The sequence below is a fragment of the Homo sapiens genome, chromosome 18, assembly GCF_000001405.40.
Source record: "Homo sapiens chromosome 18, GRCh38.p14 Primary Assembly".
In the NCBI taxonomy this organism is placed as follows: Eukaryota; Metazoa; Chordata; class Mammalia; order Primates; family Hominidae; genus Homo; species Homo sapiens.
This window is the reverse complement of record NC_000018.10, coordinates 36,733,338-36,748,591: the sequence shown is the minus strand read 5'-3', so window position 1 is coordinate 36,748,591 and position 15,254 is coordinate 36,733,338. Positions and strand designations below refer to the sequence as shown.

The 15,254-nt window shown below is 44.3% G+C and overlaps 1 protein-coding gene across 45 annotated transcripts in view, besides 1 other annotated feature; it reads right to left on the bottom strand.

Annotated features, from left to right (window-relative positions):
- FHOD3 (formin homology 2 domain containing 3) overlaps window positions 1-15,254 on the bottom strand; it is a 482,508-nt gene that overhangs the window by 31,629 nt on the left and 435,625 nt on the right. For all 45 annotated transcript variants that reach the window (XM_011526189.2, XM_011526190.3, XM_017026008.2 and 42 more), the window contains 4 exons: window positions 7,754-7,936; window positions 5,736-5,855; window positions 4,399-4,560; window positions 1,457-1,647 (listed from right to left, as the gene is read on the bottom strand). In XM_011526189.2, coding sequence (XP_011524491.1) covers window positions 1,457-1,647; window positions 4,399-4,560; window positions 5,736-5,855; window positions 7,754-7,936 — 656 coding nt within the window. The remainder of the gene's footprint in view (window positions 1-1,456; window positions 1,648-4,398; window positions 4,561-5,735; window positions 5,856-7,753; window positions 7,937-15,254) is intronic.
- Window positions 13,315-13,364: an enhancer, noted in NCBI's record as "active region_13242". NCBI's record gives its function as "activates an Ori minimal core promoter by ATAC-STARR-seq in GM12878 lymphoblastoid cells {active_cell/tissue: GM12878}" and the evidence as "EXISTENCE:reporter gene assay evidence [ECO:0000049][PMID:35858748]".

Below are 15,254 nucleotides of genomic sequence, written 5' to 3'. Positions count from 1 at the left end.
TGGGATAATCAGAGCAAATACTTTATAGCTTAAGAAATAGACACACCACCAAACTGAGTTTTTAATCTGTCTGGGATAAAATGGTTAACATAACCAAGCTCAACAGCTTTATAAGACATTCATAAAATTACTCCAGTTTCATGACGTTCCAAATAATAGTTGGTTCTCTCTCCGTGTGTGTGTGTGTGTGTGTGTGTGTGTGTGTGTGTTGTGTGTGTGTGTGTGTGCGCGTGCGTGTATTTTAAATGGGGAATTGCTTGCATCATACAAAGCATGGAGGGCCAAACCAGCTCACATTCCCTGCCTCTTTGATTTCAGTAAGAAATCTGACAAAATATCCTAAAAGTTCCCTTGAGGAAGGAAGGACAGCCAGAAGGTCTAGATAGATAGTCAGGGAGATTTATAGTTGAACAATTAAATTCCAAAAGAACTGACTGACGGATAGTTGTCAACCTGGAGGGAAGATTCTGCTTCTTATTTTTGTCCCGTCCAACTTTAAAAACTACTTGCCATTTTCTCAGTGGTCTGAATGGAGACCCAGGGAGTATGAATATCAAAGCAGAAACTGACACAAGCTGGGAGAGGGTTCATGTGCAGATAAAAGTATCAGGTTTTAAAAAGTTCTGTATAGGCTTAAGGAAGGTGAAAGAAGGAGATGAGGAAAGAAAGGAAAGGCAGGGAGGGAGGGAGGAAGGAAGAATGGGTGAGGGTCCCTCAACCGTGTTCTGTGACAAAGCAAAGGAGAAGAGAGTGGTAGCACATGGTAGGAAAGGCCCTGGCCTGGGAAGATAGAAGATCCAGGTTCTAGTCTTCGGGCTACCACTGCTTTCTGGTGGCACGGCCCTGGACAGCCATGGGCTGTTCCAGACCCCATTCTCCTTGTGGGCACAACAAGGTCTGACACATCACTGCTGTGTCTCCAGGGTCCTCTTGGATCCTGTGACTCTGAGGAGGGCTGGTCCAGAGGACAGTGCTGTGATGGAGCTTGGACCTCCCTCAGGTAGGCTGTGGCATAGCTAAGCAGCTGTTGGAGGATCTGTTACTGGAAGGTCCTCCGAAGGCCAGCTGCAGATCAGGTAAAGGAGGAACTTTTCTAACAAAGAGAGCTGCCTTGAAAGGGAGTGTCCTCTCTATAGGTGAAATTCTTCCAGCAGACCCAGAGATGCAGGGTTCAATTTGTTAGAAATCTTACAGACGCAGTTCCTGATAGGTAGGATTTTTGGATCAAATTATTTCTGAGATTCCTTCCAACTTTGAGGTTTGATGGCATTATATTATTGTGTAAGAAAAATTAATTATCCATGAAACTGTTAAACATCTGTATCATCAGTGTACTTGCTATGTACCAAGAATGTACAAAAAATCTGTAAATTTAACCATCGGCTCTTAATTTCCAGTACAAATTTTTCAATATGCCATTGTACTGATATTTCTATAAGTTCCTCAATCCACTTACCTGTTGATTATCCTTCTATGGACAATCTTTAAAATTATAATTCGCTCTGCACAGTCTTTCAGGAACTCTGACATCCGTTGTTTTAAAACTGGTTTCATTTCATGTTTTGCAATTGCCTTGAGGTGATCCCATGAAGCTTTGCATCTTCTCTCCATCTGACATAAATTATCCTGAAGTTGATCAAAGTCAACCTGAAAATCAGAGCGAGAACACTGCAAACACTGAAACCGCCGGACACCAGCCTGAACTGAGAGACAAAACTGCCTCTGGGGAGAAACAAACATCAAAACGAAATTCACATTTTGAAATGCAAACATATTTACAGCCTAAAAATTATTCACATGTGTATCTGTCATTATCTTGACATCACATTATTTAGTGATAAAACTGTTCTCCAAATGAACTTAATACATGTGTTACCTTTTTTGGCCATATTTAGAAATAAATCTTTGGGAACTGTAAATTAAAACATGATATCAAGGAACCCTAGTACAAGATGAACTAAGAAGATGTCTCATAAATTTTTTTCAGAGCACTCTTATTCTTCAGCGATAATATTTCTCTTAAAGTTGAGAAATGCACCCTAGTCCTATGAAGATGGCTCTGCTATGCTGGGGACCAACTAATGGGCAGCCAGCTTCTCTTCGTGATGATCTCCTTTATAATGTGAGTGACAAGTTGTTTTATTCACCTGCCCACTCACTCATTCCACCAACACTCATGGAGAAACTAGCATACACCAGTCTCTAAGCCAGGCATTGAACATAAACACAAATGCTGAATAAGACAACTTCCTGTTCTCAAGGAGGCTAACTGTACCCACAGGTGATTCCCAAACTCTGAAGGACACACAGACCCCACCAGGCTCGTGTGTGTGCCTGTGTGTGGGTGAGGGTTGCCAGCAGATGCACATCACACATGCAAGGGACAGATGTAACAGAGTGCTGGCTGTGTATTCAGGGACGTGCAGACAGGCTGGATTGCCTGAAGGAGACTGAGATGAGGTTTTCTAAGGTGATGATTTTATAGAATTTCCAGACTAAAAATTACATAAATCAGAGAGATTTTTAGTCATGAAAAAAATACATCAGAGGGCCACATTTAACAAAGGGATGGGGAAAGAAATTGTGAAGGACAGGAGCGGAGGAAGAAATAGGTAAGTGGGTGTGCTGAAAGGAGGGGACTGAGGTGGATGGAAAGTAGCTAAGATGGGAAAGGCTGTGTCCAGCAAGCAAAAGTCAGAGCAGCAGGAGGTGCGCGGGGTTGAGCACGAGGTGCGTGGAGGGTGTGGCGGGGATGAGCGGGAGGTACACGGGGGTCAGCAGGAAGTGAGCGGAGGGTGCAGGTGGGGGGATGAGTGGCAGGTGCATGGAGGGTGTGGCGGGGGGTGAGCGGGAGGTGCACAGAGGGTACGGGGTCGGGAGGGGCTGAGCGGGAGATGCGTGGAGGTGAGCAGGGGCGCGGAGGTAAGCCGTTGCTACTTAGGGGCCACTGACAGAGGCAACGAGCAGGGCCTTCTGAAGCCCACAGGGGACTTGCTGGAGTGACTTCAGACCTCCAGGCCCACCCTTAGAAGGACAATGAAGGGGAAAGAGTTCGCAAAGGTGGATTCTGTGAGGATCTGTGGCACCAACAGGATAAAGACACGCAGTGTCGTGTCTGGTGTGAGGCAGGGAGGCATGCAAGACACCGTATGTACTGGGCTTCCTGATGCTATTGCATCAGAAAGAGAAGGCGAGTTTAGGCAAAGCCCTGGGATTCAGGTATGCAGGGTTTCATGGCACTTTGGGGAAAATGATTTGTCTGAAACCAAAGGAATCCTGAGTCCAGATAGGAAAGGCTTCGCTTTCTCATGATACAATGAGGCTTAGAAAAAAATTCTGATAGGCCAGTTCAGGGTCCCCTGCTCGGTGCACCTGGCAGAGGCCAGCCTGTGGCTCTGGAGGTAGGTGGAGGAGGCTCTCGGCCACCAGGTCCCCACAAGCCAGGGCTGTGGCAGAAGGCAGACAGAGAGGGAGGGCCCCTTGAAGCAGGCCTCAGCAGCCAACCCACATCCTTCCCCACCTTTGCCCACCACTCTCTCTCTTCCTCTCATGCTGGATTCCAACACACCCCAGTACTTCCAGCTCTCATGCTCCAGCCAGGAGTGTTTCTAGAAGGTTCCTTCACACTAGCCTGGTTGCTGTGCCCTATTTAAGGGTATTTTCCACCCCTGCCCTCTCCCCTAGCGAGTTTCCTGTGCTCCTAAGACCTTCACATCTCCCAGTTCTGGTGTGTTTGGGATCCCTCTAGGAGTTGGTCAGCCTCAGTGACCCCCTGCACTAGAGGCAGCCAGGTGTCCACATACTGTGACTGTCTCTTTTCTAATGAAGCATAAGTTCATGAAGATATTAACTCTGCACTCGCTTTAAGAGCTTGCAGCTGAGGGCCAAGGCCATATACTGTTTACAGCTCTATAAAAATGTTCCCTCTGGGCAAGATCATAGGGACTGCCTATCTGTGGGGAGCAGGAGCCGGGAGGGCCCTGTTTTCTGGCTCCACACCTCACTGCAAGGTCCTATGGACATCTCAGGAAGAGCCAAATTGCATCTTTTTGACATGGTTGCCACCTAAGACAAGCTGTGCTGTTTCAGCGTTCTGGAGAATCCACCCTGGTGAGTAACACTGCCTAACAGTGGACGCAGGGTTTAGGAATGGGATGGCAGGCTTGCCTTGCATACCTTAGTAGGAAAGAATCTGACTGAGAACCAGAGATAGGAAAAAGATCTTAAAAGTTCATTAGAAATGCCACAAAACAAATCATATTCATAAACTCCAGAGCAGAGAATGCAGGCAGCACTTGGGCATTTTACTTAATAGGGCTCGTGTTCCTCGAGGATGACCGATAAAGATCCCGTGGCTGCAGCGAGACCAGGCCCACTCCTCAGCGTCCACAGACATACCTTGGCTGACCTGGTGATGGCCCCGATCTCCGAGTACAGATCGGAGCTGTCTGGGAAGTTTTCTACCACCATGGTGCACACATGGTGGAGAAGCGACTGCTTGTGCACTGTGTCTTTGACTTCTGGAACCTTCTCGAGGTAGCTTAACTCAAACGCTTTGGCCTGTTTTGCAAACATCAATAAAAGACATGTTTCAAGCAGGCTCTTAGAGAATAGCACAGGATGGTTAGGATCAATTCTTGGCTGCAGTCACCCAACATTCAGTTTCTCTGTGGCTGAAGCTCCTGGGGCCACATGCTCCATGATCCATGGCTGATCACACATGGGCCAGCCACCCTGAGAATGAGGGAGCCTCTAGCCCTTTCCCACCACAGCCATGAGCCATGTCCCAGGGCTCACCCCTAAATCAGGGTGCTGTGGGGCTGGGCTCTGACATCTGCCTATCTACTTCTTCCTCCCTTTGCCTGTTGTTGTCTACTTCCTGGACAAAGCTGAGCCAATTTTAAAAAGTTGCGTTTCTTAATAGCTAATGCATGCTGGGCTTAATACCTAGGTGATGGGTTGATAGGGGCAGCAAACTACCAGGGCACATGTTTACCAATGTAACAAACCTGTATATCTTGCAAATGTACCCCAGAACTTAAAAAAAAGATTTTTAAACAGTTGTTTTTCTTTAAGCATCAAAATGCTTATAAGCATGAGTATTTGAGTGATAAGCTCAGAAAAAAAATGGGGCAGAAGGAAGTTTTCCAATGTCAAGTTTGAGAGTAGTTACACTTCATAAAGAATCATGTGTGTGTTTTTCTGTTTTCTTATTTATAGCAAGACACAGATTGAAATAAATCGGCCCTGATATCTTTTTTTTTTTTTTTTTTTTTTTTTTTTGAGACAGAGTCTTGCTCTGTCACCCAGGCTGGAGTGCAGTGGTGAGATCTCAGCTCACTGCAACCTCTGCTTCCCGGGTTCAAGCGATTCTCCTGCCTCAGCATTCCGAGTAGCTGGAACTACAGGTGCGTGCTGCCATGCCTGGCTAATTTTTTGTATTTTTAGTAGAGACAGGGTTTCACCGTGTTAGCCAGGATGGCTCGATCTCCTGACCTCGTGATCCACCCGCGTCAGCCTCACAAAGTCCTGGGATTACAGGTGTGAGCCACCGCGCCCGGCCTAGGCCCTGATATCTTAAGAACAAATTCCTTCTAGATTTTCAGCAAGAAGACACAAAAGTCATTTGTTCCACTGTGCTTTGGGGAACCTGAGGTACAACCTTCATCAGCAATTGCTGGGCAGGGATTTTGTGACAAGGGGGGGCTACAGGATGAGGGATGGGGATGACTTACATTAGTTCCATTTAGAAAGTTCCCAATGGCTAAGAGAGTAGACAGGATAAAGCCCAAGGTTTTATTGTTCTCCAACTGGTCTATTCCTTCCTTCAGGTCCAGGAGTGGTTCTGCTACTTCCTTTCAGTTAAAAAAAAATTAGACAATAAAGAGTGTACAATTTGGGTTTACTTTGTTCTTCTGACTTTTTGTATAAGGGAATAACACACGGTGTTCTCCCCAGCACAAGGCAATCCCCCGCGATGGGCATTGCTCCTAGGTATGGAAACGTGTGGCAGGGAGAGCCTCTACTCCCCAGACCCTGCAGTGGAGACCAAAAGGACCTTGTGCTGGGGTGACAAGGGCTCTGGACTCCCCATTTCTGCCTTAGGGAATGCCCTCCTCTTACTCTCCTTTCTGGCTGTGGCTGACTCCTCGGACACTCTTCCTTCTCATCTTCCTTCGGCTTCTAGACCACAGTCTTCTTCTTTGCTTTTTGTCCTTCCAGGCAGATTGGCAATGAAAGTTGTGCGCTCGATGTCCCTGAACTGCCCCAGGCCTCCTCCTCCCCTCAAGGCACTCCACGGCTAGCCACCTGGCAGCCTGGGCTGCTCACTAGAAGGCTACTGCCCTCTACCCCACTGCTTTCATGATCACCCTCCCTCAGACCTCCAGCCTGCTCTGTAGCCTCATGGCCTCCATCTCCCCCACCCTCACTGCTGTTATTCTGTGGCCCCCACTCCTTTGTCTTGACTGAGGCTCTCCCCCAGCCTATATCCCAAAGCCAGGAAATCCAGCTTCAGTTTCTCCAGCCCAGGTCTTGCCAGGCTGACCCAGTGATCTGTTTTCTCCCTGATGTTACCTCCCTTGGCTAAAAAAAGTCACCTGAGCATGCTGTCTGGTCTTGTGACCCAGTCATAGCAGTCACCTCAGCAATCCCTAGGTGTCTTCCTCTCTGCTTGACTTCCTGATGAATTCAAATACTGTAGTTCCCTTCTAAAGTCCCCCAAACCCACCACCATCTGGCCCTCAGTACAGGACCTTGCTCCTTCCTTTGCCAGAAGATGGAGACCACACAGCCTCCCCACTTGGCTTTATTTTTTTTAGAGATGGAGGTCTCACTCTGTTGCCCAGGCTAGAGTACAGTAAGGTGATTATAGCCTACTGCAGCCTTGAACTCCTGGCCCCAAGTGATCCTCCTGCCACAGCCTCCTGAGTAGCTGGGACTACAAGTACATGCCACAACACCTGGCTAAGTTTTTAAAATTTCTGTAGAGACAGGGTCTCACTATGATGCCCAGGTTGGTCTTGAACTCCAGGCTTCAAGCCATCCTCCTGCCTCAGCCTCCCAAAGTGCTGGGATTACAGGTGTGAGCCACTGCACCTGGCTCACCTGGGCTATAGAATCTCTCTTCTGCAGACTTCCTCTCAACTAAGATCCCACACAGTTCACTTTCCATCTCCTCCTTTTCTTCTACACTGGCTCCTTCTGTTCAGCCTGCGAAAAACTCCCACTGCCCTATTCCAGAGAGGATGCCCATGTCCTCTGCTTTCTACTCAGGAGGAGCCTCCTCAAGCTTTCTCCATTAAGGCCCATTTCCTTCTGTTCCCCTCCCAAACTCTTGCAATAGGCAACATAAAAAGACCTGCTAATTGCCACAATCACTGGCAGTTTAGGTGATTATCATCACGTGGAAGGATTATAGGAAATTTTCTATATTGTGCTTTTCTGTATTTTCCATATTTTCTACAATGAGAATATAGGATCTGAAAAAAAAATGTAATTGTTTTGTTTTGTAATCAGTGACCTGGTGCCCACAATCTAGTGTCTGAGGCTGGCACCAGGCAGACACTTTAGAATCAGCCTTCATTGGCCAGCTGCTGATCACTTGGTGTACACACGACCTCCTCATTGTCAATTCACCCTCCGTACCCTATGCCAAGAATGATATTTCACTGCCTTAGTACTGATCAATGAAAAACTGCCTTTCTCAACACTGTGGATGTGGGATCAGCGGCCTCTCTTACAGAGAGCTTACCTTTTCTGTAGTTTCATAATCCATTTTGAATGCCCAGAGGTGAAGTCGTGCAGAGAGCTCGCTGATGGAGGACAGGGTGAGGAGGAACTGCTCTGCACTGCCCAGGGGGATTTCAGGGTTGGCCAGCTGAGCTTCCTGGATTTTCTGCTTCTCCTCATCGGTGGGAATCATCGTTAGAATTTTCTGGAAATAGGAGATGATATAGTATATTTTCTCTTAGTGATGGACCCTCCCCTGTCCCTTCAATGTTATAAAATTCATATTATAATTTTCCAACCAGGTAGTAGAGGTATGTACAGGTGTTATATTGTCATAAACCAAATATACTTGAAGCAACTTGACCCAAATTTTCAGGGTCTCACACACATAGGACATTCTAGGCAAGAAAGGGAGATGAGAGGTGAGAGAAAGATGAAAAACAAAACACAAGATTAGAGAACAGCTCCCTATTCCCTAGGAAGTAGAGTAAGACATGTAAAAAAGATATGCTTTGTAGCACTTCTCCTGCATTAATTTAAAAGCTTATAAAAATGAATCATTTTCAAAGAACTCAGATTGACTTTTGTTCATGTGACATATAATCATTTTAACTGTATTTCAAAACTTACATAGAAATGATAGTACCTTAAGTAATACTAAACTTAAGTCTGATTGCAGAAAAAATCATGACGGTATCCATAAATACAAGCTAATAAAAAAGTATACCTTTTTACTTCTATTTGTTTCTGGTAAAAATCAATTGTGGAAGGCAGAGAAGGCAAAAAGGCACCAGAATACTTATGATTCTCCTACGCTCAAATTCCTTTGTGATTACATTTTTTAAAGTAAAAATTCTCATGTCTACTCCTACTATTCCTATTGAACACCATATGGAAATCTTAGCCAGGCACATAAAAGAAATAAAAGGCATACAGACTGGAAAGGAAAAACCTGCTCATACACACAGATGTCATAATTGTCTGCATAAAAAACTATAAGGAATCTACAAAAAATTTCTAAAACAAAGAAGTGAGTTTAACAATGTTGTATGATATAGGGTCAATACACAAAAATCCATCTTATTAGTTCGTTATCTATACATTTATAATAAACTAAAATTTTTTTAAATGCTATTTACAGTGAAACGCATAGGTATAACTCTAACAAATCCTGTTAAGTGTCTTTATGCTGGAAACTAGAAAATGCTGATGAAAGCAATCGAAGATAGAAACAAATAATAAACACATGGAGAGACATACTATATTCATGGATTGAAAGACTCAACGCAGACAAGATGTTAATTCTTCCAAAATTGATCTATAGATTTAATTCAATTCCAATCAAAATACCAGTATAATTTTTTGTAGATATATGATGCAGGACAGGTGAGCCCCAAAACTGGGACTTAGCCTGGGATGGTTTTTGGCTTTAACCAGGAAAGAATTCAAGGGCAAGCTGGTGGTGATAGACTGAAATTTTTTATTGAACAGTACTGCTCCTTCTGGAGCTGGGCTAACTCCTAGGCAGTGTGCCCAGAGTCAGCAAAGTATGGGTTCTTGGCAACTGTATTTATACTCATGTAAATCTATTTTCAATTATATGCAAATTAAAAGCCAGGTCAACACAAATTGAGGGGTGGGTTGTTTAGAACTTTCTAGGAAAGGGGCAGTAAGTTTTTGGTCTTGCCCTGGAAAGGGGTGGTAACTTGTGGGTTGTTGCCATGGCATTTATAAATTGTCATGGCTTTAGTGGGAGTAGCTTATACCTATGAGCAATGAGGGCAGCTAAGGATTGCTTTTGTCACCATCTGTGGTTTTTGTCAGTTTTTTTGCTTTATCCCATCTGAACCAGATCCTGTTTTGGTCATCAGGGTTGGGACCAGAAAACAAGTCCTGCTGCTCTCCTACCTCATAGAGACAAGCTGATTCTAAAAGTTACACGGTAAAGCAGAAGAACTAGAACAACTAAATTTGAAAAAGAGTAACCTTGGAGAAATCGTATAACCTGACTTTAATAAATAAAAAGCTATAGTAATTAAGACAATGTGTCATTGGTACAAGGATAGACACCTAGATCGATGGGACAGAGCAGACAGTTCAGAACAGGACACATAAATGTGGCCCATTGATTTTGAAAAAGGTGCAAGGCAATTCAATAGAGAGAGGATATTATTTTCAACAAATGGTGTTAGAACAACTAGACTCTATATGCAAAAAAAGCAACCTCAAGTTAAACCTTACACTATACGTAAACAAACTCAAAATGGATCACAGATCTAAAAGTAAAATGGAATACTATGAAACTTTTAGAAGAAAACATAGGAGAAAACTTTTATAACCCACGTTAGGCAAAAAATTCTTAGACATGATACCAAAAAAGAATAAGATAATAAACCAAACTTTATCCAGTTAAAAACTTTTGCTTTGTGATAGACACTGTTAGAGAATAGAGGACAAGCTGTAGTTCCTCAAAAGATTAAACATAGAATTACCATATGATCCAGCAATTCCATTCTTGGATATTTATCCTAGAAAAATGGAAACTTACTTTGACACAAACACTTGTACATGAATATTTGTAGTAGCTTTATTCATAACTGCCAAAAACTGGACCAAGCTAAATATTCTTGAGCAGTGAATATATAAATTGTAGTAGATTCCCTGCAATGCAATAGCACTCGGCAATAAAAGGAACAAACTATAGATATGTACAATGACTTGAATGAATCTCAAAGGCATCATGATGAGTGAAAGAAGCCAGTCTCAAAAGGTTACATGCTATTTACAGGACATTCTTGAAAAGACAAAACCACAGTGATGGGGAATACATAAGTGGTTACCAGGTGCCAGAGGTGGGTTGAGGGTACAACTACAAAAGGGCAACACAAGAGTTTTGTTGGAAGATGGGACTGTTTTAAATCCTGACTGCAGTGGTCATTGCATGAATTTATATGCTTTAAAACTCAAGAGAACCATATACCAAAAAGTCGACTGCACTCTATATTAGTTCAAAAGCTAAAAAAATAAATAACAAAATGAGAAACAGGGCTCTTGACACCACAGTCTCTACATATGCAGATATTTACACAAGTGTGCATCAGGACGTATCTGGCTGGGATAGATGAGGTCCTGGGCTTGAAGAGGGTGTTAACAGGCAGAGCGGCCTTAGTTTATCAGAAGCCAGTGATGCAAAACTGCATTGCAGATGTGCATTCAGGCTGTAGTCAGTGTAAAGTTATCGAAGGTGAGCCTGAGGCACCTCCCTTCCCAACTTTCCCTTCACCAGGGCTCCAATCACTGAGGCTTCAGGTGGAGTTTGAGCATCTGGAGAGATAGGTGGTGGCAGTGTTCCTTGCTTGCCCACAACCTGGCACGTGTCCCACCTGTTCATGCAGATGGCATTAAGAGATAGCCAAGACACTTCAAGCAGATGTTGCCTCCTTAAAAACATGCATGATTTAAACTCAATTAGTCTTCAAAATAAATGCTTCTCTAAAATTTCTATTTTAATTTCCTTAGCACTGCCATTGTTTCTGGCATGACCAAAATTCCAAAATGAAAAACTGTCAACACTTTGTACAACCTTCAGAAGACATCTTCCTGTGATGAATTTTGTTGCTTTGTTCCTTTGAGAAAGCAGTTACTCTTCTTTTTGTTTTTCATTTCTCTAATTTATACTATTTGTTCAATGTTGAAGATTTATGAGGTTGCCACCTGCCATTTTATTTTTTTACACATCACTGACAATAAGAATAGCTGTAAGACAGTGGAAGGGCAGGTTAAAGCCACCTCCTATGAGCCCCTCCTATGAGCTGATGGCCCTTGTTTTTTGTGAGCAGATGATACTGTGATGATTATGAGGTAGTATTTTTAATTTGTTTTTCTAAGTCAGTAGATTTATTGATAATTGCACGATCATAATTTGATTTCACAGGAAAGCAAACATCAAACAAGACCAATATGTTGATAGGGATAGGAAGCAGAGAAATTCTAGGCAGAAAAGGGTGGGGTGCCTGGCAAAGGCCCCACCCTCAAGCCTGGAACTGTGGCCCAAAGTGAGAACTTTACATCCCTATTTTCCCACTCGAGTGTTGCCTTTTCCAAAACCACTCCTGGTCTGCCCCACCCCCATCCTGTACCCATAAAAACCCCAGGCTCCACTGGCAGAGAGCAGAGAAGGGGAGAAGAGGAGAAGCAGCAGGACATCAGAGATTGTCGTTTGATGTCAGAGAGAGGCAGCTTGACTTCAGAGGGATGGCTTGACAGCATTGCTTCAAAGAGGAGTGCAGCTGGGGATGGCCAGACTCTGGGGGAAGATTACTTTCCCATTCCATCCCCTTTCCAGCTCTCCTTCTTGCTGAGAGCCACTTTCACTGGCAATGAAACCCTCTGTATTCACCATCTTTCAATTCGTTTATGTGACCTGATTTTTTCTGGACGCTAAACAAGAGCTCTGGTGCCATAGATGCGGGCGCTAAAGGCTGTCACACTGACCCTCTGCCCTCACTGGTGGAGAGCAACCACCTCACATGAAAAGGCAGAGGGCCAACTGAGTTAACATTTAAGCCATCCATGATGGCAAAGCTAACAGTGCACACTGTACACATGCCCTGTGGGGTGTCAGGGGTTGCGGGTACTCCCTGCCAGACACCACTGCAGGGCCCACACGGAGTTTTGCTCCTGCTGGTGCCCAGAAGCACTTGCCCCAGCTCCTGCACTCACTCACCTGTGTGCTCCCACTCCCTAGAGGGGTTGAGAGCTGCAAGCTGAGTAAGTGAGGCACCCCCATCACAAGGCCCGTGAAGGGGTCACAGAAAATTTCCTGTTTCAATGTGATAACTTCCATGTTTTTAGCGTTTGCCTAGACAGCGTCTCTCCAGCATTGCTCTAAGTATATTTGCTTTTGTATCTGAAAGTCATGTATTTTGGAGAAAAATGCAGAAATCCCTTTTTAAAAATAGACGCCAATACTATTGGGTTTGGCCATTTCTTCTACCTGCACATGAAACTATAATGAGTAATCCTTTTGCCCTGTGAGTTTTAAACAGAACACTGGCTACAGCTTTGTATAAGCATCTGCCACAAGGATTTTGGTGACCAAAGTTGAAAGTTGAAGCCCTGAGGGCTATGTCTGGTTTGCATACAATATGCATATTTGCATGAGAAAATAGTGTTCTATCCAGGTAGTTACTTTCCTGTAGCAACTTAAAAAAAAAAACTTTTTAAAGCATCTTGATAGTATCTTCTTTCATTCTTATGATTATTCATTGAGGCACTTTAGGGCAGAAATTATTGTATCAAACACAGACAAAATGATTTGCCTGAAGCTAAGCTGGATCCACCAAGGCGGAGCTAGAGAAGAACCCAGGGGCTACCTCTAGTTTCTAGCACTAGCTCCATAGTTCATAGGGATTCAAATTAATAGTGAATAAATTCAACCATAAATGCAAATTAACAGTGCAGCTAAGCCACTCAGTCATCAAGATATTCTGGTTCCCTGGCACTGCTAAGTCAACTGTGACTCTCTGTGGTCAGGTTCCTCTGTGTGTATCCAGCACCTGCGCAGCTGGGCACCTGTGGACAGGAACTGTACAGGTTAAACTGCTTTCAAAGATGCTGTCATTTTTTATCTGTGGCCAAAGAAAACTTCTGTTTCTAGGATGCTGATTGGACTGGCAGCCAAGTTGGGCCAAGCTGTTTGGGACCATTCAATTGTGCTACCCTCTGAGTAGACACAGACTCTATAAAATTAAGAGAAGAAAGGAAAAGAAAATAAAAATCGTCATACTTCCATTTATGATAATTTGATGCCATTTTACTTGGGGAAATATCATTAATGCTACTTAGAGATGGCTGCAAAATGATTTTCTGGTTTAATACTCTTATGAAAAATGACTTCCTTAATGAAGTTAACTACTCTTTCAGGTTTTCATGACAAACCTGGATACATACCACTGGGTTGCTAAGCAAAGCCACAGGATGAAAACATTCTAATTACATTTAGGTACACAGAGCTTTCAAACGACCCCGTTAAGCCATGGTGCCAGGCTACAGTGCTTGCATCCGAGAAGCAGACAGTTTGGCTAAAGGCCCTCTGGGTGCAAGCCGGAAATCTCATTAACAAAGATCTGTATGTACCCAATTGCATCTCTTCTGAGTCCTGATTTAACTCTTGAACAAGCCTAGAGAACAAGCTCTGGGTATTGGTTTGGCACATGGATCTAGATCATCTCTGCCTCTCAGGTCCCTGAGATCAATGGCCCAAGATAGTAGGTGATGCCTGAGAGTGCCCTGGATGCCACATTCTCCAAGAGGGGTTTCGACTGGAGTCTTCACAGCTGTGACTGGGAAGTGCTGAGAGATCTACACAGTCTCTGGATTCACACAGGCAGCCTTTAGATCAGGGGCTCTCAACCAGGGTGATTTTGCTCCTAGGGGGCATGTGACAATGTATGGAGACAGTTTTGGTTGTGGGGGGAGGGTAGGTGTTACTGGCATCTAATGGGTAGAGGCCAGGGATGTGCTAAACATCCTATAATGCACAGGACAGCCTCCTACAACAAAGCACTGTCTAACCCAAAATGCCAGTAGCATTGAAGTTGAGAAACCTGCTTTAGAAGAGAAAGTAAAAATGTAACTCTGTGTCGTTGTGACTATGAATTTACTGAGGACTCACGATGCAATAAAATCTCAGTAAGGGCTACCAGTGTTTCCTGTGGCTGTGTCTCCTCACTTCAAATTGCTCTGTAAGTCAGCTACTCCTGGGTAGCAAATGTAGGCAGCACAGTGAAGAGGGCTGCGCTGCTGCATACATGTCTCTCCCTCCCCTTTCAGATTCCCTCTTATTCTCTGCAGCACACAAACCCAGGCCTGGAGGGCCCCTCCAGGGCCAGCCACCCCACAAAACCGCAGCCTGCATTCTGGATTCAAGCTTCAGAGCTTGTGTCCCCGCTCCCCGGCTCTCTGGCTCACTGGCTTGGGAGCCTGGGCACACACTAATGCTGGGACTCCCATTCTTCTTCACGTTGGGGAGCATATGTACCTCATAAGCTTTGAGGAGAATCTGTGGCAGGCGCCTACCTGGTGTCTGGCCCACAGTAAAAATCCTATGAAAGTCAGATTTGGTGCTGTGCTGCTACTCCCATATCCGTCAGCGTCATAGCTGTAATTATTCCTTCCTGGATCAAAAGGGTGCTCAACTGGAAACCAGCCAGACAAGAAAAAATAATAATTTGGTTCATTCTAGAATCTGAGTAACTTATTGTATCTGAAACTTTCCCCACCTGGGGAGAGTTGCATTTCAGGAAAGAACAAAGGCAAAACCAAAGGAATAAATTTCTCCTGAGGGACTTTCAAGTTCTCATGACAAGGAGGAGAAATATTTTTAAAGGGGTAGTTGTCCATCTATTCTTTTAATCAGGCTGGCTCTGGCTATCTTTGTAGCCTCTCTCCGTATGAATCTGAAGCTTTTGTGCTCTCTAAAGGACCTTGTTGTGTAAATAGGATGGCCCAAGAGCCACTGC